This window comes from Homo sapiens, chromosome 11, assembly GCF_000001405.40.
Source record: "Homo sapiens chromosome 11, GRCh38.p14 Primary Assembly".
Lineage (NCBI taxonomy): Eukaryota > Metazoa > Chordata > Mammalia > Primates > Hominidae > Homo > Homo sapiens.
In genome coordinates this window covers 76,216,849-76,239,508 of record NC_000011.10, presented here as the reverse complement: position 1 = coordinate 76,239,508, position 22,660 = coordinate 76,216,849, and the positions used below count along the sequence as shown (strand labels likewise).

General features: G+C 51.5%; 2 non-coding genes across 2 annotated transcripts, besides 5 other annotated features; one reads left to right on the top strand and one right to left on the bottom strand.

Moving 5' to 3' along the window:
- Window positions 1-3,612: 3,612 nt before the first annotated feature.
- TRP-TGG2-1 (tRNA-Pro (anticodon TGG) 2-1) lies at window positions 3,613-3,684 on the top strand. Its single transcript has one exon. It is a non-coding gene; the product is annotated as a tRNA-Pro (tRNA).
- TRP-AGG2-4 (tRNA-Pro (anticodon AGG) 2-4) lies at window positions 3,925-3,996 on the bottom strand. Its single transcript has one exon. It is a non-coding gene; the product is annotated as a tRNA-Pro (tRNA).
- Window positions 3,931-4,476: an enhancer, noted in NCBI's record as "NANOG-H3K27ac-H3K4me1 hESC enhancer chr11:75946077-75946622 (GRCh37/hg19 assembly coordinates)". NCBI's record gives its function as "activates a minimal SCP1, AML or CMV promoter by ChIP-STARR-seq in naive and primed H9 embryonic stem cells {active_cell/tissue: H9 hESC(naive and primed)}" and the evidence as "EXISTENCE:reporter gene assay evidence [ECO:0000049][PMID:30033119]".
- Window positions 4,477-5,023: an enhancer, noted in NCBI's record as "NANOG-H3K27ac-H3K4me1 hESC enhancer chr11:75945530-75946076 (GRCh37/hg19 assembly coordinates)". NCBI's record gives its function as "activates a minimal SCP1, AML or CMV promoter by ChIP-STARR-seq in primed H9 embryonic stem cells {active_cell/tissue: H9 hESC(primed)}" and the evidence as "EXISTENCE:reporter gene assay evidence [ECO:0000049][PMID:30033119]".
- Window positions 5,571-6,117: an enhancer, noted in NCBI's record as "H3K4me1 hESC enhancer chr11:75944436-75944982 (GRCh37/hg19 assembly coordinates)". NCBI's record gives its function as "activates a minimal SCP1, AML or CMV promoter by ChIP-STARR-seq in naive H9 embryonic stem cells {active_cell/tissue: H9 hESC(naive)}" and the evidence as "EXISTENCE:reporter gene assay evidence [ECO:0000049][PMID:30033119]".
- Window positions 8,957-9,458: an enhancer, noted in NCBI's record as "H3K4me1 hESC enhancer chr11:75941095-75941596 (GRCh37/hg19 assembly coordinates)". NCBI's record gives its function as "activates a minimal SCP1, AML or CMV promoter by ChIP-STARR-seq in primed H9 embryonic stem cells {active_cell/tissue: H9 hESC(primed)}" and the evidence as "EXISTENCE:reporter gene assay evidence [ECO:0000049][PMID:30033119]".
- Window positions 14,870-15,077: a transcriptional cis regulatory region, noted in NCBI's record as "candidate enhancer chr11.4413 targeted for multiplex CRISPR interference". NCBI's record gives its function as "positively regulates TSKU gene expression in K562 cells {active_cell/tissue: K562}" and the evidence as "EXISTENCE:mutant phenotype evidence [ECO:0000015][PMID:30612741]".

The window sequence follows — 22,660 nt, the reverse complement described above, 5'->3', positions numbered from 1 at the left end:
AGGGCAGGCCTCAGGCTGCTTCATCTCAGGTGGAAGACAGTGGGCAACTTGGCCATACATACCCAAATACATCATTTGAAAGTCGGGATGCGGGCCAGGCAAGGTGGCTCATGCTTGTAATCCCAGCACTTTGGGAGGCCAAAGCGGGCCAATCACCTGAGGTCAGGAGTTCGAGACCAGCCTGGCCAATATGGTGAAACTCTGTCTCTAGTAAAAATACAAAAATTAGCTGGGTGTTGTGGCATGCACCTGTAATCCCAGCTACTTGGGAGGCTGAGGTAGGGGAATCGCTTGAACCCAGGAGGCGAAGGCTGCAGTGAGCCAAGATCGTGCCACTGCACTCCAGCCTGGGAGAGAGAGTAAGACTCCATCTAAAAAAAAAAAAAAAAAAAAAAAGTCGGGATGCCAGCATAATCTGGGCAAAAGATGGTGGTCAGTGGTCAGGGGGAGTGACTGACAATTGTCCTGATCTTCCGACAGCCCCTAGTGTACAGAGGAGAAAGCCTGGTTCACCCAGCAGCACATCTGGGGTGTAGCCGGGTCCTGAGGCAAGCCTAGAGCGCTGTCCTCAGCCCCTCCACTGGAGCCTGTGTGTTTGAGAATCCCTGCCTGAGGTTTGCCCTACTTCATGGGATGCCCTGTGGCCTCCCCGCTCCTGTGTGGGTTGGTAGGACAGCAGCAGCAGCAGCTTCTGTGGGGCTCCAGGTCCGACCCAGCCCCAGCCCCTCCCTCCCTGGCTCCAGGAAGTCTGGAGCCCCGAGACTCCCAGGAAGGGCCCCGGCCTGGGCCTGCTGGGGCCTCTGTGGGCTGAGACACGGGGAAGATCCAGGCCCTCAACACACCAGACTTTCATGTGCTGGAGTCAGGGCAGCATCTGGAGGTGGGGCAGAGCCAGGAGGAACCTCAGTGTCATCTGGTCATCAGAGGTAAAGAGGTCCCAAAGATGGCCATATCTTGCCCAGAGACACATAGTGAATTTGAAGACATGCAGTGGACCACTCTGTAAAGGACGGCCCTTTCATATTCTTCTTCCCAGCAAGGCTGTGAGGGAGGCAGGGATCATGAGTCCCATTTTACCAGGAGGGAACAGAGGTTCAAAGATGCAGTGATTTGCCCAAAGACACACACAGTGACAGGCTGTACCTTTCCCAGTTCCTGGTTTTTCTGTTTGTTTGTTAGTTTCTCTCTCTCTCTCTGTCTCTAATTACTGACCAATCAGCAAACTTTCCCCAAACACTTAGCTTGGCATAGAGGACCCAGAGAAGAATTGGTTCAAGGGGCTCCCTGTCTGGAGTGTCCAAGGAACAAGTGCATGTGAAGGAGAGCAATACCTAAGAGGGAGGGGAAGTGGGGAACTGTGGGCTGTAGCAGTCAAGGAAGACTTCCTGCAGGAGGCAGCATTTCCAGAATTGTTTGAATGAGACAGGAAGTCCATAAGGCATGGCTGAAAGAAGGCAGGGAATGAACTAGAGTGACAGCACAGGTGCCTCCTAGTCAGGAGGGGAAAGCAGTTCCTTCCTTCCTTCCTTCTTCCTTCCTTCCTTCCTCCCTCCCTCCCTCTCTTTCTTTTTTGAGATGGAGTTTTGCTCATGTTGTCCAGGCTGGAGTGCAGGGGCGCAATCTCGGCTCATTGCAACCTCCACCTCCCAGGTTCAAGTGATTCTCCTGCCTCAGCCTCCCGAGTAGTAGGGATTACAGGCGCCTGCAACTATGCCCAGCTAATTTTTGTATTTTTAGTAGAGATGGGGTTTCACCATGTTGGCCAGGCTGGTCTCAAACCCCTGACCTCAGGTGATCCACCCTCCTCAGCCTCCTGGGATTACAGGTGTGAGCCACCGCGCTCAGCCAGGAAAGCAGTTTTTCAAAGGCTGTGGTGTGGTGGAGAGAGCTCCACCTGAGATCAGACAGATCCAGTTGTAGAGGCTGGGTCCTCCTCACCTGGATTCTTCAGCCTCTAGTATGGGCTCTGGCACCAGAGTCAGCTGAATAAATGAATAACCCCAATTCCAGCAATTACTGAATACGTGCCCTTGGGCAAGTCACTCCACTTCTATGGCCTCAAGCTTCCTGATCTGTGAAATGGGGATAACTATAAAACACCCTTGACCTGGATGTTGATGTTGAAAGACTCTAAGAAAATATGTAAAATGCCTTATATCGTGCTTGGCACATGGTAAGACGCTTAATATCTAAAGATATTTTTACCTCCCTTCGTTCATTCCTCCTCACGTGCAACTTAAAACACTTCAGAAACCGCAAAGCTGTTGGCCCACTCTGAGTCCTTCTCAAATATTCAGACAGGAATGTACATAAAATGGAGGCCTTGCTGGGACAGGCTGAAGTAATGTCATTTTCAGAAGCAGTGAAAAGCAGCAGAGCCAGAAGTTATTTGGGGGTTAGTGACTCAGGAACACACGAATGTCGGTAACTGCCCTTTTCTTTATAAATTGTTTCCACACAATTTCAGATATTTTCTGGAAAACCAGTGTGACTATAAATATAATGTAAATGGGTAAATGAAAATGTATAAGGAGGAAAGCAAGGCAGGCAATGGGAGATCACTGACACCTGAATTTCAATCCCAGTTTTGCCATCTGAAGCTGTGTGACCTTGAGTAACACACTTAACCTCTCTGACCCCTTTGCTTACCTTGCAAAGGTAGGTTATTGAGAGAGTTCAGTAAGAGATGGCTTGTGAAATCATTGCTGATTATTAGTGTTAATTCTTCAAAGCCAAGCGCTGCTCCATACTCTGAGCATGGGGAAAGGGCCAACTTAGCTCCTGCCCCCGCAGAGCTTCCAGTCTGAGTCGCTGGAACTGGGAAAGAACAGAGGACTCCAGGAGGTTGGGGTTGACCCTGAGCGGAGAGGAAGGACGAAAGGTAATCGGTAGGTGAGTGTTTGGGGGTAATGTTCGTTAATGCAAAAAATAAGAAAAACCCGCACAGCCAGGCACAAGTGCTTGCCCTCCGCGCCAGACCCTCGAGCGCACTCGCGCTCCACTTTTGCATCCACTGCTCCAGGCCCGGTGCTCCCTCCGCCGCGCGGCCAAGAGGTCTCCATTTTGGGGTAGCTGCGGAAGGCTCGCTTCTTAGTCGCTGCCCCGCCCCTGTAGCGTTGAGGCGTCCCTCGCCTCGCTCCCACTAATCCTTCTGTGTAGCCCTCGTCCGCGGCCTGCGCACCCTCCCCTCCGGCCCTGGACTGACACATCGCTTTTGGGGTCGATGCACTGTGTCCAACATTCGGCCTGAATTGATTAAGCACTTGCTGTATGCCGAGCCTGAGGCAGCCACTGTCCGGGCGCTGGAGGGGGGAAGCATGGATCAGGGATTCCAAGGCGGGGGCGGGTCCCGCCGGTGGTTGAGGGTTCGCGGGGACAGGAGTTGAGGGGCAGGGAGGAAAGGGTTTCTGGGTAGCATGGGGGCGCCGTACGTTCTTAGGAGCAAAGTCGGGAGACATTAGCAGGCCTGAATCCCTGCGTGTCCAGGGAGAACGCGTGGATTTCTATGCACAGAAGCCACGCCCCCACCCAACTCTTTCCCGCAAGCGCTGGCCCACACGCTTGCCGCTGTCATCGCCTCTAGTAAATTCGAGGAGACCTTGCTCAGCAGATGGCTCGTTGGTCTAGGGGTATGATTCTCGGTTTGGGTCCGAGAGGTCCCGGGTTCAAATCCCGGACGAGCCCCTCTTTTCTTAATTTTTTTAACTGTTTAGCACGCGTAACTTGGCGTTCTACAGTCGTAATGAACACGAAATGGGACCTGGCACATTCGAAGAGGTCGGATCGTCGATTGAAAACGAGCAAGCGGTTTTTGCACCCTGGCTGCTATCTAAAGAATTCTTCCAGCTCGATAAGTTCTGTATTTAGAGAACGGAGATGCAGGAAAAGGAAGGAGATGCGGAAAAAGGAAGGGAAAGAAAATGAGGGCTCGTCCGGGATTTGAACCCGGGACCTCTCGCACCCTAAGCGAGAATCATACCCCTAGACCAACGAGCCGTCGCTCGTAAGAGTTTTCGTTTCGCTTTGTAAGTAGAATAGGAGGCACCCTAGAGCCTGCGCCTTCCCGTCCCGGCCGCACAGGACCCACCAATGGCGTGTGCGCTTAGGGCTCGCCTCGGATTACCAATCCGGTATCCGCACAGTGGGACCCCGAGACTGGCTCTGTCGCCGGCGAGCCCTGGATCTGGACGCAGCGAGAACGCAATCAGTCCGCGCTGCAGAGGGGAAATGTGCCTTTCTGCAGATGCAGGGACCACGAGTTTACACTGGACCTGGGAGCTGGGGCGGGACGCGCAGAACTGCAGACCAGGGGCTGGGGGCGGCGGGCTGGGATCCTGGGCAGGAGAATTCTCTCTGAACCATGTGTGGAGCTCCCTAACGCGCCCGCGTTCCAAACATCACATCATCATCATCGTCATCATGACTGCGCAGCCTGGGTCTTGGGGTTCCTGGATGTCTAGCTTTGTGGGAGGGTAACTGACATTGTGAGGCTTTGGCCTGACATTTCGGTCAGGGCTGGGTCAGATGTGCAGTTTCTCGGTTTAGCTACCGAATCCTGGGCGGAACCCACCGACTCTGGTTCACCGAATGGGCCTCCCAGCACGTGGGGCGCCTGGCACGGTTTCCCGTGCTTCGCCTCTGCGTCCACGGTCCATGGGTTCTAGGCTCCCCGAGAAGCCTCTGTGGGGAACAGGGGTGCCAGACCCACTCCGAGAAACGGGTTCCATGGAGCTCTTCCACCTCGTGACTCAGTGTCCTTGGGACACGTAGCCAATGTGTTCAGCATGCCCCCCTGGTGAAAACGGGGTCACAAGGTCTGCCTTCTTGCCTGCCAGAGAGAATTGGGAGCTCCCCACCACCGCGCCCTGTCCCCCGTAGGAGAGCGGAAGGTAGTGGCTGTGCTGGCCTCCATCACAAGGCTACTAGCAGTGCAGAGCCAGCGGTGCAGATCAGTCCAGCCAATTTCCGTTGCGCTCTCTCTCCCTCCCCACCCCTTTCCACCCCCCACACACCCTGACTTCAAGATGAGGAAACTGAGACTGTGACGCCCTGGAAGGACTTTTGCCCAGTGGCCCTTTTCCAAACTCCTTTCAGCTATGTCCTGCGCCTTCAGGAGCTGGCTGGAGCCTCACGTTTCCTTATTCCCAGGTCTGAGGATGTGCGGGCAGGAAGAAATACCTTCAGTCAGTCGCTGGAAGCCTTTGTAAAGCTTCTTTCACTCCACAACACACTTCCACTGGCGCCTGCTCTGCCCCACCCCCGGGCTGGGCCCTGGGGACACTGATGAGTCAACCCTGCCTCCTGAACCCCCTGCCCAGTGGTTGCCACACTGGCTGCACCCTCTGCCTAGCCCAAGGCTGTGGACTGGTCTGCAAGGAGCTCAGTCTGGGCCCTGGCGGACTGTGGTTACTGCTAAATGAGGCTATGGCCTGGACACACACCCAGGACCTTACATCCTCTGCCCGGGCCTTCTGTGCCTCCAGACAGGCCTTCCCCATGGACAGTCCCACACCCACAGTCTCTTCAAACCCTGCGGTGGCTCCACCCTGGGAGCAATGGCTGAGCTCTTTACCTGCCACCTGGGCTTTCTGAGGCCTGACCCCTCCCCACTCACCTCTCTTCAGGCCCTCCTCACTCCGTGAACACTCCAGCCATGGCTCCAGTGGAAGCTGCTCATTCCAGCTGGGGCTGCCCCCAGCTTCCTGCACATTCCAGGCCTTGCGGTTTCTGCACCACCACCTCCACCTCCAGGCAGACACCTCTCCAAGTGCCCCCAGCCCCTGCACTCCCTGTTGCCTGGATGCCTGACCCCTGCACACATCTGTGTCTCTACCCACAAGAGTGTGAGGGAGGGTTCCCTGAGGAGTGGCCATGTCAGCACAGGGCCCAATGCAGATGACCTGTAAAGCGTTTGTTGAATGAGTGGTACTTTGTCTTTCTGTAAAACCCAAAGCCAAAAAAAGACACCGTAACAGCTCAAAGCCTGGCGTGAGTCAGAGGTTCAAGGCTTGCTTGCCCCCTCCATTGGCACAAAATGCCTGTCAGCCAAGAAACTTCTTAGGGAGGTGGTGGGATTCTTTGGTCCCTCTGCCAGAGCTGGGACCCTTGGAGATGACCTCACTAGCCAGTGGGGTAGCAGGGCAGGAAGGGCTCCAGTAGGTGAGAAGGTGACTTTCCAACCAGAAAAGTTCTGGCTAAGAGGCCTGCGTGGAGCAAGTAGGCTCAAGAATGTCAGGGAGGCAGGGCACGGGGTGGCTCACGCCAAGGCGGGCAGATCACTTGAGGTCAGGAGTTTGAGACCAGCCTGGCCAACATGGCGAAACCCCATCTCTACTAAAACTACAAAATTAGCCAGGTGTGATGGCATGCCTTTAATCCCAGCTACTTGGGAGGCTGAGGCATGAGAATCGTTTGAACCTGGGAGGCGGAGATCGCGCCACTGCACTCCAGCCAGCCTGGGTGACAGAGTGAGACCCTGCCTCAAAAAAAAAAAAAAAAGAATGTCAGGGCACAGAGGCCAGAGTATGCAGGACCACCCTAGGGGGGCAGGAGGGCTGCATGTGCCTCTCCCCAGAGTTTGCTGAAAGGAAAGGGGTGTGTGTGTTGGGGGGCGTGTGGGGGGCTTGGGGTCAAGGAGAGGGGGTTGTCTGTCTGCCTGCTGAGCCAGGAGGTGGGATATTGGAACCATCAGGCCTGAAGACCACTCCTCCAGGCATCTCTGAGCGGCTGAGGGGTCCCTGAGTAGATGGTGTGATCTAAATATTTAGGCCCCTCGCTCTTCTCTTTCCACTCTGGGAGGACCCAAGCCTCCACAGATGCAGGGTTATGATGGATACCACGTGCTTGACAGTGCTGGAGAAGAGGCCTGGACCTGGCCAAGCAGGGGAACTTGGAGCAGAGGGGAAGGGGCAGGGAGACAGGGAGGAGGGGAGAGGGTGGTCTTCCTCTACACACACCCTTATTTATACTGTTCTTCCTGCAGGCAGCCCCGCGCGGGGGCAAGGGGTGACACATAGAGAGAGAAGGGCCCACGGGTTCCCAAGGTGCCCCGGGTCCAGGGGGCTGTGATGCAGAGAGGAGAGGGTGAATGGGGTGGAATGGAAGGAGGGGAGAGAGCTGGGAGCTGAGGTGAGAGCAGGGCGGGGCCAGGGGAGAATGAAAACCCAGCCTGTTGGTGGTTTCTTCTTTTTTTCTTAAGAGCCACAGGCTGAGATCAAAGGTGATATTTTTACAGCAACTGAAATAGAAAACCACTGGGCGCACAGTGGGAGGTGAGCAGCCAGCACACAGGCCCCTTTATGCAGCCTGTGGCCACAGCAAGCACGCTGCCCTCTGCCATGGGGTGTGGGGGACAGTGTGGTGGGGATCTTCCCAATTCAGGTTCAGAGAAGATGTGAAGGGGATGAGCCACAACCCTCGGGGCTGAGAGAGGAGAGAGAGAGCCATGAAGGATCACTAGAGTCCAACATCCTTTCTGCTCCGTGCATTCACTCACCTGCTCACTCACCGGATCATGTATGGAACTAGCTGGCCCCCGCATACCAGGAGCCATACCCAGGCCCACCACAGCAGTGGGTCTCCGAGTGTGGGCCCCACACCAGCAGCTTCAGCGTGACCTGGAACATGCTAGAAATGCACATTCTCAGGCCCCAACCCAGACTTAATGCTCCAGTGGGCCCAGCCCTTAGGATTTTAACAAACTCTCCATGTGACTCTGCACACTCAGTTGGAGAATCACTGTGCTGCATGACCTCAGTTTCCACATTGCTACTTTGGGAAAAACAACACGTGTCTCACAAGGTCGAGCCCAGTGTTAGCTAACACACGTGCTAGATGCACCCCCTGTGCCAGGCATCCTTCTAATCCCTTTATAACGCACCTAACTCTACACCAACTCTGAGATAGGAACTAATATTATCCTCATTTATTTCCTCAGATGAGGAAATGCAGGCACAGAGAGGCACAGTAACTTGGCCAGGGTCACACAGCTAGTAGGTAGCAGAGCTTTGGCATCCACGCTTTTTAAAGCTCCCCGACAAAAAGCCTCTGGCAGTGAGTCTGGCTCCCAGAATGTGTTCTGGGCATGGCTGAGAATGTGATGATGACAGTTAGCATTACCTCACCTGAACTTGTGATGATGATCCCCATTTTGTAGATGTGAAATCTGCTGCCTTGTCAAGATCAGGGAGTAAGTCAGCTGCAGAGGCAGCCTGAGTGTCTGAAACCCATGTGGCCACAGGCCCTCACCATTCACAAAGCTTGGAGATCACAATATATACCATTCTGGTCTTCTAGAAACATCCCAGCATGTTGCAGGTGGAGTGTGGGCTCTGACAGAGGTGGGCTGGAACCCTAGTTTGGCCACTCAGGGGCTGTGTAACCTTGAGCAAATCATCTCCCCTCTCTGAGCCTCTGTTTCCTCCTGTGAAGTGCTTGGTGACAGTCCTCACCTCAGGAACTTTGTGGGGTTCCTGTGAGGGTTGGAGAAGATGACATTTGTACCCAGCCCAGAGTGTGCGTGATTGGCTATCAGAAAGCAGCTTGTCCCTCTCTCTTCCCCCTTCCTGCTGCTACCTTGGTAGAAACACCAGCTCAGGACCCAGAAAAGTCCTGGGAGAAGAAGAACTAAGTTCCCAAGTGATGGAAATGCATCTGTCCTCCAGCTTGTCTGTCCTTTTCCGGATCTTGAAACAACTGCCCTGGCTGGGGTTTGGGGGTTAAACACTGGCACCTGCTGTGCCCAGTGCAAGTCAGGAGTGGGGTAACCTGTGAAGGGAGGGGAGGTGTCCTCTCCGAGCCATCCCCACTGGCCAGGCATCCTAAATCAGCCAAAGCATCTGAGCTTCTGCCTGCTGCAAGACCGAGTCTGGCCCCGGCATCTGAAGCTCATTAGCGGCCTGCTCCCCAGGGGCTGACCCTGCTTGGCGAGAATTACCCCAGACAGAGTCACAGAGCAAACGAAGACCAGGTGAGGTGTGGCCATGAGGGGCTGGGGGGACGTATGGTCTCCCAGAGGCTCTGGGGACCCCCAGAGAGCAGGGGAGGCTGGAGAAACAGCCACAGACTCACTGGCTGTGCAAAGGGGCAGCTTCCTTTTTGGGCCTCAGTTCCCCGACATGTACATCCCTGGAGGAGGGGCAAGCAAGGCACTCACTGGAGGCCTTCCAGCCCTGACATTCAGGGGTTCCAGCCCGACCTCTAATTCCTGGCCTTTGAGGTCCAGCCCAGTGCTGGTGGGAAGTGAGGGATGGGTGGCGGGAGCAGGGGATAATTCAGGGGTGGGAAGCCATGACCCCTTCCTCAGGCCTGGAGATCAGAGGAAGATCAGAAAGTGACACCACAGCTCAGAACAGGAAGCTAGGTGCTCCCTCAGTGCCCATGAGTGACAGAGATGGTGGTGTGGGTCCGAGGTAAGAGTGGGTGCAAGCCGAGCCTGCCTTCCAAAGACAGGGGCCCGCCGGGCGGATGGGCCAGGATGGAGTCCTTCTCCCTATCTGCACTCACACCTCCACCCTGCTGTCCATTTAGGGCACAGCTAACTTTCACTGAGCAGTTTTTATTGTCCACTGCTTTTATGCCAGGCGCTGTGCCAAGCACTGCACATCTATTGAAATAATTTAGCCCTTTCACTGGGCGGCAGGTCTCAGCCTGGAGTCCGGCCCTCACCTGGCAGCTCCTGACATTGACCTTTCTCCAGACACCTAGAAAGGTCTGACAGGCTGGCCCTAACCATGTCACTCAAGATGATGCCTCCTCACAACACTTATCACTGACACTGGGCACTCTGCCTTTCTACTGACAGGAATGCTCTTGTCCCCTCCTCAGTCTCCTTCCCTCCTGGGAGCCAGGGCTCTGGGATCTGAGCAAAGGGGCGAGGAATGCTAGTCGAGAGTTGCTTCATGCAGACCTTGGTGAAGCCTGAAGAATGATCTCCACCCATGCAGGGGGCTCTCTGTGGGGACTGGGACAGGCATGGCTCTCAGTCAATCTCCCTGACCTTCCAGATAGCACTGGACCTACACACAGCCACAGTGGGCTTCTCTGAACCTTGGCTTTTCTCGGGACCTCATGGCTTGGTTGCTGCGTTCTTTCATTAGACAGGTTAACATCATGAAAATGCTGGGCGGCTGTTTCCTGAGCCAGGGAGGCCTGTGATTCATTTACCTCTCACAGGGCAACATTATTACCGGCATTTCTAAGAAAGGCCCGGAGAGACGGGGGTATCTCATCAAATTCACTCAGTCTGTCAGAGCTGAGACAATCCTGGATGCCCAGACCCTGCCTCATTAAACAGTTTATCCCTTTCAAATATGAAATATTAATTATATAACCATAGAATAATTATACAGATAAGCAAAAGTCAAAGTCAAAATAAGTGTGCTTTTGGTTTTTCAGAGAAACTTCCACTGCTCTTCCCCATCTCCCCCACCTCCCCAAACCACACCCCCTGCAATCCCAGACATGATCAATATCTCTCCTCCCTTTGCCAACACCTGCTCCCTAAGGAGTACGCCTTGACAGCAGATCCTTTAAGACAGCCTTAGACCGGATTCTGGAAAGGCCTGGCGTCTCTTCCAGAACAGCAGAGCTTCCGCCAAATGGAACCGTTTAAGTGCAGGCTATTGTAGAAAATACTCCCAGCCAGGAATCTAGAGACTGCATCCAGCCCTGTCTGGGCTGTGGATTGGCTGTGTGACCTTGGACCAGTCCCTGCCCCTCTCTGAGCCTGGGTGTTTTCAACTGTAAAACGAAGACTTAGACTTGATCAAGTGGCTTCCTCACAGCCATTCTCAGACTGACAGCTTCTCTTGGGCAAGAGCCATGCCTTCTCCTCTTTAGCAGATCATAGAATTTAGAATCAGAGGACAGCGTTCAAGGCAAAGTCCATCACTCCCGGACCGTGTATGTGACCATGGGCAGGGCACCGCACTACTCTGACCCTCTGCTCCCCACGGAAAGACACAGACCTGTGTCTACTCGCCCTGTGGTCTTCCTCAGACCCTGCGAGTGGTGGACGTCGAAGACCTTTGGACAACAGAGCAAGGTGCTCCACTGGGCTATCAGTCTGCCCCCTGCCTGCCCAGTGCCTGGCTCCATCCTGGCTCTGGAGATCTGGGCCCAGGCTTGTCGATGGAGGCACCATCTGCCCCTGGTGCTTACAGAGCTCTAGAAACAGGAGTGTGGACCCTGTGCCCAGCCTGCCTTATAAAGTGTCAGTAACGCTGCCCAGAGGCCTCGGGGCCCGTGACATCATGGACAGCACTTTCCACGTTGGAGCTCAAAGAGCTAAGTCCATTTGAAAAAATAGCACTGCCTTTTTTCTTTCTTTCTTTTTCCATTTTGGCTAAGGCATGGAAAGTGAAAGCTGCTGAATTACTTCAGGAAGAAGTAAAGGCTGGATTCTGAAACTAGCTCTGGTTTCTGGGCCCTAAAATCAATGGCAGAAACTGGAAGCCTAGCCCCTGCTTCCTCATGCCCACATTGCTCTCGCTCCAGGCTCCCCTGACAGGACCAAGGTCAAGGAAGACCATAGCCTGCCTCTAGTTCCCAGATGGACCTCATCTTGCCATCTAAAAAACAGGCATAATAGCCATTCCCCTGATCATTGCTGGTAAGAATCAAATGCAATGATAGCCATCCCATCGATCCATTCATTCATTCATTCATCCAGTGTTTACAAAACACCTTCTATATAGCAGGCAGTATTCTAGGAGCTGGGGTAGAGCAGAAAGCAAAGCAGTCAAAACCCCTGCCTGCATGGAGCTGCCATGGTGGGGAAGACAGACAATCACCAGGTAAAGAAGGAAAGGATGCAGGATGCACTATGGAGGAAAACACCATGGGTGGGGGCAGGGGGATAGAGAGTGCCAGTGGGGAGGCACAGGGTCTATTTGCAATGATTTTTGTTTTTTGGGATTTGGGGGTTTTTGTTTTGTTTTGTTTTTGGAGACAGGATCTCTGTCTGTCACCCGAGCTAGGGTGCAGTGCTGCAATCATGGCTCACGGCAGCCTCAACCTTCTGGGCTCAAGCAATCCTCCTATCTAGGCCTCCCAAAGTGCTGGAATTACAGGCATGAGCCTCTGCGCCCAGTCTGTTGGCAGTTTTAAATAGGGTGGTCAGGGCAGGCCTCACTGAGAAGGGGGCCCTTGAGAGGACACTGGAGAGGTGAGGAGGAAGCCCGGGGTCATCTGGGGGAAGGGTGTTCCCAGCCCTGGAAGGACTCTGGCTTCGTAGAAGCAGGGCACAGAGTGTAAGTGTTCCCTCCATGTGTCTCCTGCTTCTCACAACCCTCGGCTCCATTCTGGGAACGGCACGCTCTGGACTTTAAGGGCACAGTTACAGATGGTACGGTCACTTCTTCCCCGGGAGAGGCCTTTGACCGCCCCCTCTTACATGTCAGGCCCCAGAGTATGCTGAGGGTGCCAGAGAGAACTCAGACCTGTGGCCTGACTGTAGCAGGTGGGACATCAGGAGGCCTGGTCTCTAGCCTGGCTCTGCCATTGGCGATGTGACATTAATAAGGCACTGCCCCTCCCTGGGCCTCAGTTTCTCTGTTTTTAAAATAGGATAATTGGTGGTTGCCAGGGGCTGAGGGAAGGGGACAGGGGGACATGACTGCTACTAGGTAATGTGGTTTCTTATGCGATGATGACAGTGTTCTGGGATTGGGTAGTAAGATGATTGCACAACTTCATGAATACGCTAAAGTGAACTTGTACACTTAAAAATTTTTAAAGAAAAAGATGGTGGTTGAACAAGATGACCTCTAAAGGGAGGAACATGAATTTTTTGTGTGCCTACAACACCCCAGGGTCTGGATTCAGCACTTGCATATCTCATGATCTCTAGGATTCCTTCCTGTTCTGACTTTCTGTGACCACCATGGTGATATTCAACATTGTAGTCACTCATCGAGCTCAGCCTAAGCTTGATTCAGGTCCACAGCTAGACTGGGGAAGAGAAGGGGGTACAGTCCCTCCCTGAAGGGGCTCAGTGTCTGTAGAAGAAATCAGAAGTATGAATTGTGCCCAAGAGGTTTTTTTGTTTTTTTAGGACTAGCTCCTTCCTTTCCTTTCCTTGTATAGGAAAACAAAACAAAAATACCAGAGCGGGCAGGGCACGGTGGCTCACACTTATAATCCCAGCACTTTGGGAGGCCAAGGCGGGCAGATCACCTGAGGTCAGGAGTTTGAGACCAGCCTGGCCAACATGGCGAAACGCTGTCTCTACTAAAAATACAAAAATTAGTCGGGCGTGGTGGTAGGCACCTGTAATCCCAGCTACTTGGGAGGCTGAGGCAGGAGAATCGCTTGAACTGGGGCGGCAGAGGTGGCAGTGAGCCGAGATCATGCCACTGCACTCCAGCCTGGGCAACAGAGTAAGACTCCATCTCAAAAAAAAAAAAAAAAAAAAAAACAATTCCCAGGGTGGGCACACACCTCTGTGGCCGTGCATGGGGCCTGGGGGTTGGTTTATTCATGTGTGCTTCGGGGCCTTTGGGCTGGGTGTGCAGGATGCAGCAGTGGACAAGCCAGACCCAGTCTGCCCTTAAGGAGGGAGGCCGACTTTGAAACAATCAAGCACACAATTAAGAATTTATTTCATTATCGTGATCAGTGCCACGAAGGGAAAGCTCACAGTGTCTTGAATAGCTTGAGAGAACACTGGCCCTGCCGGAGGAGCTTTGAGGGTGTTATAGGAATGATGAAGGGGTATGGAGAGGTGTGGAGATGACACAGACAGGTATTCCAGATAATGGGAGGCCCCAAGGGTTGGCTGAGGCCTGGCAGTGAAGGTGGAGGGCAGAGAGCCTGGGAGGCTGCCCCAGAAACAAGCCAGGCCTGGCCAAGCAGGGCTGCAGAAGTTAGGCCCATAAATACCCGTGTACGCCTGTTGTCCCCTCACACTTTTACGTGTCCCAGATGAAACAGTAAACTATACAGCCACCCTACTTGCAGGCCATGTGACAGGGTTTGTCCTAAGAACAACCCTCATTCCAGGAAGGCCTGGTCATCGCTGCCTGCGTCCTGGCCTCTGGACTTGCCTCTCTGCACGGCCAGCAGCGAGGGCCTGCCAGCCCGGCGGCCGCAGCAGTTACTTGAGCCAGATGATGGGCCTGCTTGGCAGTTCCTGGCCATCCGACCCCGCGGTCCTGTTCCCAGGCAGACCCTGCTCCCCCCATGCCAGTTTCCCCCACCAGTATCTTGAGGTGAGAGCTTTTCCACCATGTCTCAGGCCAAGCATGGTTCTTGGCTCCAGGTTTGGTGAGCCGGTTTCCGGCCGTCCCCGCCCTCAGCTGCTCCCTGAGGACCTGCTCCAGGCCTCAGCCGGGCCAGGGCCTCACGCTCTTTCAACTCTTGTTTTTCATTTCTGCCTCTCTTGATTGTCCTCTGTGTGACTGTCCCTCTGCTGGGCCTCCCTGTATCTCACCCCACTCCTCTTTCTCGCTCTTCTCTAGGGTAACTAGTCATTATAGAAGAGCATGTGCTTCAGGACGGATGGAACTGGGTTCAAATCCCAGCCCTGTCACCTGCTGGCTGTGTGAGCTTGGGCAAATGTGTCCTCCCTTCTGACTCAGTCTCCTGTCCTGTGGAATGGGGATGAACCTCATAACTCCTGTTTCTCTGGGTGATTGGAAGCTGAGATGAAGTCCACAAAGTGCCTTTTGGCAAACAGGAGGTGCCCAATAAATGGGCTTCCTCTTACCTTCCTCAGGCACTGTCTTCTCCTTGACCTGCTCATCTCACTTACTCACACACAAAACAAGAAACAAAAGCCCCCAGCTAGCCCCCAACTACCTCCCGGCCCCAGACTTGACGCAGCCAACAGCGTCCCTGCAGCATGCTCCCGGCCACCCCGCCGCAGGGGTGAGGGAGGCTCGTACCTGGAGGATCTGGCTGGCCTCTGTACTATGAGGCTCTCCAGGGGGACGTGGGAGGTGTCTTCTGAGCTGTGACTCAGGTTCCAGAGTCTTGTTTTTTCACCAAATGCAGGACAGGAGAGGCAACCTGTCAACACCACCCCTGGCCTGCAGGCTCCTCACTTTGTCCCCATGTCACATCCCTGCACTTTCCAGCCTCCAGCTCTTACCAGTGCCCTTGACCCCATCTGGAATACCCTTCTTCTCCCCGCTGTCCCCCACCCCCAACCCTAGGCCTCACATCAGCTCTGGGGCTTAGACATGACAGAGGAGGAAACTGAGCCTCAGGGACATTCTGATGTTGGTGTTTTTTTATGAGAATGTGTTCTGTGTGATATATTGTGTCACTTCTTAAAAGGCAAAATGAAACAGGTTGCCTGGGTTACAGTGGATCTGGAATGGAAACAAAGGTCTGCAGGACTCCAAATGTCTCATTCATCCTCTTCCCTCTGCCACACCCCTTACATGGTGTGACTACATGGACCCTACTGTAGCTTACTTCCTAAATATCACTTAACAAGTAATTGTGTCAATAAACCCATACATCTATGGCCAATTGACTTTTGTTTTTCTTTAAAGAAGCAGGGTCTTGTTCTGTTGCCCAGGCTGGATGCAGTAGCATGATCACTGCTCACTGCAGCCTCAATCTCCTGGGCTCAAGTGATCCTCCCGCCTCAGCCTCCCTAGTAGCTGGAACCACAGGTGCACACCACCAAGTTCAGCTAATTTTCTTTTTTTTAATTTTGTAGAGACAGGGGTCTCACTATGTTGCCCAGGCTGGTTTCAGACCCCCTAATCTCAAGCGATCTTCTCATCTTGGCCTCCCAAATTGCTGGGATTATAGACATGAGCCACCAGGCCTAGCCTGGTCAATTGATTTTTGACAAGAGTGCCCAGACATTCAATGGAGAAATGATAGTTTTGTTTTTTTTTTTTTTAACAAATGATGCTGTTCCAGCTAAAACTAGAAAATCCTTACGAGAAAACATAGATGTAAATCCTTGTGACCTTGAAGTAGACAATAGTTTTTTCTATATGGTGCCAAAAGCACAAGCAACCAAATGAAAAAATAGAGAAACCGAACTTCATCAAAATTAAAAACGTTGTGTTTCAAAGGATATTATCAAGAAAGTGAAAGAACAACCCACAGAATGGGAGGAAATACTTGCACATGAAGTGTCTGGTATGGGTCTAGTATTCTAGTAACCGGAATACATAAAGAACTCTTTGCAACTCAGCAAGAAAAGGACAAATAATTTAATTTTTTAAGTGGGCAAAATATTTGAACAGGTATTTCTCCAAAGAAGATATACAAATAGCCAATAAGCACATAAAAAGATACTCCACATCATTAGTCACTGGGGAAATGCAAATCAAAACCACCATACGATATGCTATTCACACTTACCAGGATGGTTATAATAAAAAATACCAAATTAACAAGTGTTGTCAAGAATGCGGAAAAACTGGAACTCTCATAATGTAAAATAGGACAGCCACAGCTGGGCGCAGTGGCTCATGCCTGTAATCCCAGCACTTTGGGAGGCTGAGGCGGGTGGATCATGTGAGGTCGGGAGTTCGAGACCAGCCTGGCCAACATGGCAAACCCCGTCTCTACTAAAAATACAAAAAATTGGGCCAGGTGCAGTGGCTCACGCCTGTAATCCCAGCACTTCGGGAGGCCGAGGCGGCAGATCACGTGAGGTCAGGGGTTTGAGATGAGCTTGGCCAACATGGTGAAACCCAGTCTCTACTAAAAATACAAAAAAAATTAGCCCAGCGTGGTGACAGCCGCCTGTAATCCCAGCTACTCGGGAGGCTGAGGTAGGAGAATCGCTCAAATCCAGGAGCTGGATGTTGCAGTGAGCCGAGATCGCGCCATTGCACTCACTCCAGCCTGGGAGACAGAGTGAGACTCTGTCTCAAAACAAAAACAAAAACAAACCCAAAAAAATTTAGCCGGGCATTGTGGCAGGCGCCTATAATCCCAGTTACTCAGGAGGCTGAGGCAGGAGAATCACTTTAACCCAAGAGGCAGAAGTTGCAGTGAGCCAAGATTGCGCCATTGCACTTCAGCCTGGGCAACAAGAGTGAAACTCCATCTCAAAAAAAAAAAAAAAAAAAAAGGTACAGCCACTATGGAGAACAGTTTGACAGTTCCCTTAAAGTTATATAATTACCATATGATCCAGCAATTCCATCCCTAGGTACATACACAAGAGAACTGAAAGCATGTATTTCATACCAACACTTGGCACGTGAATGTTCATAGAAGCATTATTTGTAATCGCCAAAAAGTAGAAACAACCCAAATGTCCCTCAACTGATGAACGAGTCAACAAAATGTATATATCCATACAATAAAATATTAACCAACCATACAAATAAATGAAGGAGTACGATACATGCTACAACATAGATAAACATGAAAATGAACTTGAACTGTCCAGAATAGGAAAATCCATAGAGACAAAAAGAATCAGCAGTTTCTAGGGGCTGGAGTGGTGGGTGGAATGAAGAGTGACTACTAGTGGGTATTGGATTGATTCTTGGGGTGATGGATGAAAATGTCCTGAAATTAGAAAGTAGTGATGGTTGTGCAACTTTGTGAATATACTAAAAACCACTGAACAGTACACTGTAACATGGTGAATGTGTGGTATAAAAGCTATATCTCATATTTTTTTCCTTTCCAACTTATAGGTTCAAGGGGGTACATGTACAGGTTTGTTACATGGATAAATTGCATGTTGTGGGAGTTTGGCATATAGATAATTTTGTCATCCGGGTAATCAGCATAATATCCGATACGTAGTTTTTCAGTCCTTACCCTCCTCCCCCAATCCACCTTCAGACAGGCCCCCGTGTCTATTGTTCTCTTCCTTGTGTCCACACGTACTCAATGTCTAGCTGCCACCTAAAAGTGAGAACGTGCAGTATTTAGTTTCCTGTTCTTGCATTAATTCACTTAAGATTATGGCCTCCAGTTCCATCCATGTTGCTGGAAAGGCCATGATCTCATTTTTTATAGCTGCATAGTATTCCATGATGTATATGTACCACATTTTCTTTATCCAGTCCACTGTTGATGGGCATCTAGATTGATTCCATATCTTTGCTATTGTGAATAGGGCTGCAATGAACATACATGTGCCTGTGTCTTTATGGCAGAATAATTTATATTCCTCTGGGTATGTAACCAGTAATGGGATTGCTGGGTCAAATGGTAGTTCTATTTAAGTTTTTTGAGACATCTCTAGACTGCTTTCCACAGTGGCTGAACTAGTTTACATTCTCACCAGCAGTGTATACACATACCCTTTTCTCCACAATCTCACCAGCATCTGTTGTTTTTGATTTTCAATAATAGCGATTCTGACTGGTATGGGATGGTATCTTATTGTGGTTTTGTTTTGCATTTCTCTAATGATTAGTGATGTTGAACATTTTTCACTGCTTTTTGGCCACATGTATATATTCTTTTAAGAAGTGTCTGTTCATGTCTTTTGCTCATTTTTTAACTTTAATTTTTATTTAATAATTTTAACTTAATATTACTTTAATAATTAAAATTTTTTTAATTATTAATTTTAAAAAATTGAGATGAGGTCTCACCACCTTAGTTTGTTGCCCAGGCTGGCCTCAAACTCCTCAGCTCAAGTGATACCTCCTACCTTGGCTTCTCAAAGTGCTGGGATTACAGGCATAAGCCACCATGACCAGCCTTTTGCTCATTTTTAAATGGGGTTGTTTTTTGCTTGTTGATCAGTTTGAGTTTCTTATAGATTCTGGATATTAGACCTTTGTCAGATGCATAGTTTGCAAATACCAAGTTTTTTTTAAAGGTATTTGTGTGGATCTGGAGAGAATCTTGCAGAACACTGAGCCCAGTGTTCTCCTGCTCCTGCTTCAACATGCCTCCATGTTAAAGATGGGGAAACTATAGCCCAGAGAGGGGAAGGTTCACACAGCATGTCTGAGACAGACCAGGGACTGGAACCACAGCTATTGCCACCCCGCTCTTCCCTGCCTAGACTGTTAAGTCTTGGAGGACAGGAACTTTTATTAATTTTGTACCCCCTGTAACAACAGCTCAGGACTCAGCACATTGTGGTGGAGATAGGATTGCTCTAATTGCAAGAGAGTAGATAGAGACCCTATTCTGATGATCCTACGGAAACATGGATTCACTGGCACCATAATTGGGAAGGACAGGGTGTGCTCAGGGACTCAAATGGCACCCCACCTCCACCCCACTACCTGTTTCTTCTCTTTCTTCTTCATTCTCCTTGTCTTCCTCACATGGCAGAGAATACAGGGTAGGAAGCCCTGGGAATCACGCCTTTGGAATTTGCATTCCAAGGTGGGCTGACTCCTTTCTCCCAGAACCCATTTATGCATCCCAGGGAAATGGCTCTATTTGGTTCAGTTGGGTCATATACTCTTCCTGGGCCAATTATGTGGCTAGGAAGATGGAATTCTCCACAAGGCCAGGCCTTCTATCAGGGGACTGGGCTCTGTGTCTGAGAGCCCCATCAGAACCTCATAAAGTGGGGAGATGGCAGGGAGGGGTGTTGTTACCATTAGAAGGGAAAGAGAGGTTGGGCAGGCAAAAACTCAGCTGCCCCCTCCCATAAGCATTCAGGCCATTGTGGGAATGATCCGCTAGCCAGGGGAAAAGGCAGTCATGGTGTTTGGATGCAGAGTGGCCTAGGGTTCAAGACCCAGCTTTTTCACTTTCTGGCTGTGTGCAGGTGGGCAAGGGACCTCCCAGAGCCTCATTTTTCCTGACTGCAAAGTGAAAACAAAAATCCCAGCCCATAGAGTTGTAAATATTTGAGATAAGGGCAATAGAGTGATAGCCCAGAGCCTAGTGCATAGTAGGGGGTTGTGGTAAGGGTGGTCATTGTCATTGTTATTGATGCTTTGGGTGGGTCGATGTTTAGCTTCAAGTCAGAAGCTGAGGATTCTGAGAAAATGCTTCAGACAGTGGGAGCTTCTCAAGGCCCAGACCCCTGCACCAGGGTTATGGGGAAAGGCAGTGAGAGAGATGACTCCTCCCGGGTAAGGATTATAGAAGATGTCATATCTGTGGGGCATGAGAGGGGAGTTGACCTCTAGGAGTCCTGAACTCAGGGTCAGCCCAGCACTGCCCCAACCTGCTGGTTGACTCTGGCCTGGTGACCTGCCCTCTCTGAGCTCAATGATCCCTGAACCAGTGACAGCTCCGCATGACTGCTCAGGATTCCTGCTCATCTAAGGCTGCTAGGAAGTCAACAGTGTCACCTCCCACACTCCCTGTTTTTTAAAGGGATCGAGCAGCCCTTAACACAGAGTTGAACATCTGCCCTTCTCAAGGCCCTGTGCTGGGCTTGAGGACTCAGGTGACTCTGACCCAGCCTGCCCTCAAGGGCCTGCAGCCTGGCTAGGTGAATCAACATGGCGCCCTGAACAAGGATAGCTCAGGCACTGATTCCCTGTGTGACCTTGGGCAAGTCACCACCTCTCCCTGGAGCTCTCGTTTTCCCATCTGTAAGAGAAGGGGTTAAACGTGAGGATGAGAGCCTACAGCCCCAAAGAGGTGGATGGAGAGCCCACCCCCATACCTCAGCCTCGGCTCAGAGTCTAGTGACATCATCCACAACCCTCTCCTGTTTCCCTGGCAACTGGGGTGCTGGCCGAGGCTCCCCAGGGGCCCAGACCGTCTGGATTTCCTTGCACATAACTATACCTCGTCCACATTTTCACAATTAAATTGTCAGTTTGGGTTAAGTGTTGTCTGCTGATGGCTGTCAACCTCTCTCTGGCTCTCCTCACTCTTCACCCAGAGCAGGTAAGTGAGAACGTCCTGCCTGTCCCTCAGTGCCATGGAAAGGAACTAGGATGTTAGTGGGAGGCAGGAGAACTGGGTTCCAGGGTAGCTCTGCTATGCACTTGCTGTGTGGTCTTGGGTAAGTCACTTGCCCTCTCTGGGCCTAGGTCTCCCCATCTTAACAACAGAGCTAATCACCTCTGCCCAGCCTCCCTCTCAAGCCAGTGGCAAGTCTCAAAGGAGCCTGCCCATAACTGTGGCAGGGCTTAGAAAACTGGAAAGCTCAACTTGAGGTCTGGGATGGTTAATAAAATGAGCAAACGGACCTTGAGAGGGACTTCTCTGAATCCCCACCAAACAGACAGGTAAGTCAGTTCCCCTCTGGTCTACCCCGCATCCTTCTGGCTACAGATCTAGCCCAGGTCTTCTCCCTCTCACAGTCTGTTCCTGGATTGAAAAGGACAGAAAAAGTGCTCTTCCCAACAGGGCTTGGCACTGAAGATGCAGAGCAGAGGTGCTAGACCAGAGGACTAAGGGCCCTGCTTCCCACAACAGATGTGTCCATGCAGGTGGCTCAGCTGCTGCATTAGTGGCCAGGCTGTCCCTCCCCTCCACTAGCCCAAGTCATTCCTGCTGCTACCCCACTTTCCCCTCATAGGCTTCCAGGAGCTCCATCTCCCCTCACCTCCCCATCCAACCCCAGACCTGCCCCAGACTTGAATCCCAAACCTGACCTTACCCCTTCCCTCTTCAGACCTCCTCCATGTCTCTCTTGGCAAAGCCCAAGCTCCCTAGCCCAGCACTGAAGGCCCTCCGTGGCATGGGCCTGGCTTCCTCTCCCGTTATTCTCCCTCCTGTTGCTCTTCATGCCAGCAGCACCGAACCACCCACTTACCCTTCTCTGAAAGCAAACTTCTTCTTGTCTTTGCTTACACTGTTCCCCTGCTGGGAACGCCCTCCCCCTTCCCCGGCCACCTGACAATTCCTCTCCCACCTGCACATTATTTATATAGACATGAATGCTAAGTACAGATGAGCTCTCCATCTGGAACTGTTTACGTACCTGGCAGAAAAGGAACTAACCTTTATCAAGGACCGATTACGTGCTGAGCATTTTACATACATCATCTCTCCTTTAAGCCCCACAGCAACCCAGGCAATAAATTTCACTCCTCCTATTTTTCAGGTGAGAAAACTGAGGCTCAGAGACATGAAGTGTCTCTTCCAAGGCCAAACAGAAGTTGCTTTCGAGTTGCAACCCCAAACTGTGTGATCCAGAGCCCATGCTTGTTTTAGGGCCAGGTGGAAGCACTTCCCTTAGGGTTATATCTGTGTCCGGGGACACCATGTACATAAAAATACTTGTTATTAAGTGAGGTTGTGCTGCTTTGTAATGCTAGGGACCATCGTGATGTGCCTAAGGCTATCCTATATAAGAGGGGACCCCAGGAAGACAGCCAGGACCCCTGGGGGAATCAGAGGTCTCTGCTCTAGACGGAGGAGGATCTTCTCCAAGACAGAGCCATTCATAATGGAAGACACCATCCTGGAGGGAGTGAGCTCCAATCCCTGGCAACTTTGGAGCAATTACTGTTTGTCCAGCCCTGGTGCAGTACTGGGGACATAGCAGCACATGACAGAGCTATCACTGGCCACATGCTGCCCCAGATCAGTGGAGACATTACAGGGCCTCTGGTGGCCAGCACCTTGGGGTTATGAGAGGGGGTGGCCCAACGGTAAGATTCTAAGATTCTGAAATGACATTAGACAAATAATTGTGTATATATTTAGCTTTTTCACTCTTTAAGCCTGGCTGCTTCTTGTCTCTATTGCTACATAACAAACCATGTCAAGATTTAGTAGTTTAAAGCCATAATTGACTCTCGTGCTTCTGTGGGCTGACCCAGCAGCTCTGCTGACCTTGTTG